The 3,688-nt window shown below is 42.1% G+C and overlaps 1 pseudogene; it reads left to right on the forward strand.

Moving 5' to 3' along the window:
* Positions 1–2,954: 2,954 nt before the first annotated feature.
* On the forward strand, positions 2,955–3,052 carry LOC124903608 (uncharacterized; annotated as a pseudogene).
* Positions 3,053–3,688: the final 636 nt, after the last annotated feature.

Consider the following 3,688-nt stretch of genomic DNA (forward strand, 5'->3'; position numbering starts at 1 on the left):
CAGAAAAATAAATTTCCCTACCCTACCCTACCATGATTGTTTCATTCAGAGAAGATCCTTTGGCTTTGATAAAGAGCCATGGATGGCAGATCATCCATCTATCCATTTATCCATTCATCCATTCAAACAGTGACTGATGGGCACCTACTCGCTGTTCTGTGCTGTTCAATGTCTGAGACATATTCTGTGCATTGAAGCTGCTTGTTGCATTGTTTATCTTCATCTTCTTCCTATTTTTCTTCTCTACGCTTTACTCTTCCTCCTCTTTCTCAGTTTAAGGTTTGTACTTGCTACGGTTTGAATATGTCCCCTTTAAAATTCAGGAGTTGCCAATATGATAGTATTAGGAGGTGGGGCCTTTAAGAGATGTTTAGGCCATGAGGGCTCCTCCCTTGTGAGTGGGATTGAGATTCTTATAAAAGAGGCTTCACACAGTGTTTGGCTCATTTGCTCTTTTACCCCTGAGGGTATAGTGTTCCTCCCTTTCAGAGGATACACCATCAAAGCACCATCTCAGAAGCAGACACAGCCCTCGCCAGGCAACCAAAGCTGCTGGCGCCTTCATCTTGGACTTCCCAGCCTCCAGAACTGGGAGAAAATAAATGCTTGTCTTCTATAAATTATCCAGTCTGCAGTATTTTGTTAGAGCAGCACAAACAGACTAAGACAGAAATACTGTGAAGGTTGATTTGGGTGTCAACTTGACTGGATTAAAGGAACCCAAATAGCTGGGAAGGCATTATTTATTCTCAGTGCTTCAGTAGGCACTGAGCCCATCCCCCTTCTGCTGAAAGGGAAACCCAACTCATTTGGCATTTAATTAGAATAATTCGGCTGCCTTAAGTGTGTCTGTGAGAGTGCTCCTGGGGGAGATTGGCATGTAAGTAGGTGAACTAGAATGGGGAAGATCCACTCTCAATGTAGCAGACACCATCCAGTGGGCTGGGGGCCTGGAGGGAACGAAAAGGTGAAGTAAGGTCAAATTCTCTTCCTCTCACTTCCAAAGCCAGGAGACCCTTCTTCTCCTGCCTTCAGACATCAGAACTCCAGTTTCTCTGGCCTTTGGACTCACATCAGCAGATCCTGGGCCTTTGGCCTTGGACTGAGAATTACACTGTCACCTTCCTTTGTTCTGAAACCTTGGGTTTGGGACTGAGCCAAGCTACTGATTTTCCTGGTTCTCCAACTTGCAGTTGGTCTATCTTGGGACTTCTCAGCCTCCATAATTAAATGAGTCAAATACGCTAATAAATCCTTCATCTCTCTCTATATATATATCTAATAAATCCTTCATCTCTCTCTATATATGTCTTACTGGTTCTATTTCTCTGGGGAACCTTGACTAAAACAATACTGTTGGCCAATTATTTGATCAAATCACTATAATTGGTTTGAAAAAAGAAAGGAGGCCTCAAAATGAGTAACCCTAACTTCAACTGTTAACTTCAGTCTTTGCGGAACGAAGTGATGTCTTACCTCCATGATCAAAACAAGGCAAGCGCTCGGCTATTGTGGTTCTGAAGCATTTTCAGAGAAAAGATAGTGAACCAGCTGACACTAATAAAGTTCCCCCAAATTTGATTAAACTTAAATCTGCCCTTTTTGCCTGGGAAAACCCATAAGCTTATGTGAGTAAATAAGCCTCTTATTTAAAAACTAAACTTTGAAATTTGGAAAGAAAAGCTGCAGAGTTGGTGCCCCAGTACACAAGGGCTGTTCCAACCTGGAGTGCTCATTGGAATTTCAAAGGGAAATGAAAACAGGTGAGAAATACTTGTATTCATAGGTTGTGGGAACCCAGGCATGGGATAATGTAGAACCTAATAGCTAATACGCTTACTAGATGACTGATTGGCTTTAATGTGAAAAAGTTTGAGGCACAGGACGCTTGGAGGGAAAATCATCGATCTCACCATCTATGATCCCGAATCCAAGACGAAAACGATTATTTCCTTTCTCCTCTGCCCTTCCTCTAGCTGCTGGGAAATGGCCACACAGAAGCTAGGAAAGGGGAGTAGGTGGTGCAGAGCAGCGGTTCTCAAACTTTACTGTTTTGCTGCACACTAGAATCACCTGGGAGTTTTCAAGAATCCTGATGCCCCCTCCACGTTGAGAAGTGCAGTGAGAGCAACCCATTAAATCAGGATCCAGGAGCCGGTGGGGGAGAACTCGCAATTGGCATTTTTTTGAAGGCCTCCAAGTGCCTCCCATGCAGAGCAAGTTTGAGGCCAGAGGTATAAGTGGTGCTTCCCAATGAGGCAGGATCTGAGACAAGACACAAGCTCCCAGCTGGTGTGGTCCCTGGCTGCACTTTAAGTAACAAGGTGTAGAGTTTCTATCCCCGATCCCACCCTCACAATGATGTCCTGGCAAAGTGAAAGAAGCTGAAAGAAAAGAGCTGAAAGAATTGAGCCTGGGCAGAAATGCAAGCAGGATGTGGGCAATGGGGCTATCAAATCAACACAGCCTGGAAAAAAGGGATAAGAAAGCCTGCGTGTTCTCAGGAGGATAGAGCTATTTGTCATTTGAAGCAAGACATCCCACTGTCCCATGAAAGCTTTTCTCCTCCCCTACCCCAATAACATGCACACAGGAAGAATTCGTTTGTCCTATGTCTCCAACCGGAGTGCCCAAATTCCTCTGGCTCCCCGTAATTACGATGCTGGATGAGAAAGAATTGGACTTAGGCCATCACCTAAGCATTGGCATATGTTCAAAGTTCTCCCATCTTGAAACCAGAAAGCAAGCCAACCCACCTCCGTGGACTTTTGCTTTCCTTCCAGCCCAAGCTCCCTTCTTTCTTGCCCACAGGCAGCTTTTAAAAGGACCTATTACGGGCACCCACACTCTTAGTTTTCATCCCACCAGTATGTAATAGGGACATTTTGTTTATCATAGACTTCTTTACATTAATCTTGACTTTTAAAAAACAGTGCCTTAAAATATTAATCTTGCTCCTTTTGCGGTTTATAAGCATGATGATTGGGTTTTCATGTGTGAGATGTGTCTCCCTCAAATCTTTTTATGAAGTAGATGCATTGTCTGTCTGACATGAAAAAAGGAAATAATTATTTATCTTGATTACTTCATTTTTGGCACCCCCTCCCCTTTTATTTAGCCCCAAGACTCTTGCCTCACCCTAGTCTTAACCATTTCCATCTGCTCCTCAACCCACTACAGTCTGTTCTGCTCTCAATGCAATAGAAACTAATCTTGAAAGACTCAATAAAAATTCTTCTGTGTCATTTGTTTTAAAGGACAACTTTTTAGTCCCTGTTTTCCATGCCATCCCTTTAAGCACTCAAACACATCAAACTACAAGACATACACAAATACAATGATTATGAAAAATGTTACTAATACCTATGTCTATTCCTAAAATGTCAACATCTTGTTTTCTTCCCCATTTCTTAATTTTTTATACTACGCCTATACTATCTAAGATTATAGCAGTACTTAATTAAAAATCTCAAGTTTACAGTATTCCAGACCAAAAAGAAAAGGAATATAAACTTAAGACAGCCAAGGTCGTAGGATCTGGTTGAAGCATTGATTCTTGGTTAGGGCAGGAGGTCAGATTATTTCTCTGAAGACTATCTAAATCCAAACAATGGACACCAGGCTGAAACTTTCTTCTTAAGTTAATCTTGACTTTTCATATCAATTAAAAATAAAGTCTACATTTTCC

Source organism: Homo sapiens, chromosome 15 (assembly GCF_000001405.40).
Source record: "Homo sapiens chromosome 15, GRCh38.p14 Primary Assembly".
Lineage (NCBI taxonomy): Eukaryota > Metazoa > Chordata > Mammalia > Primates > Hominidae > Homo > Homo sapiens.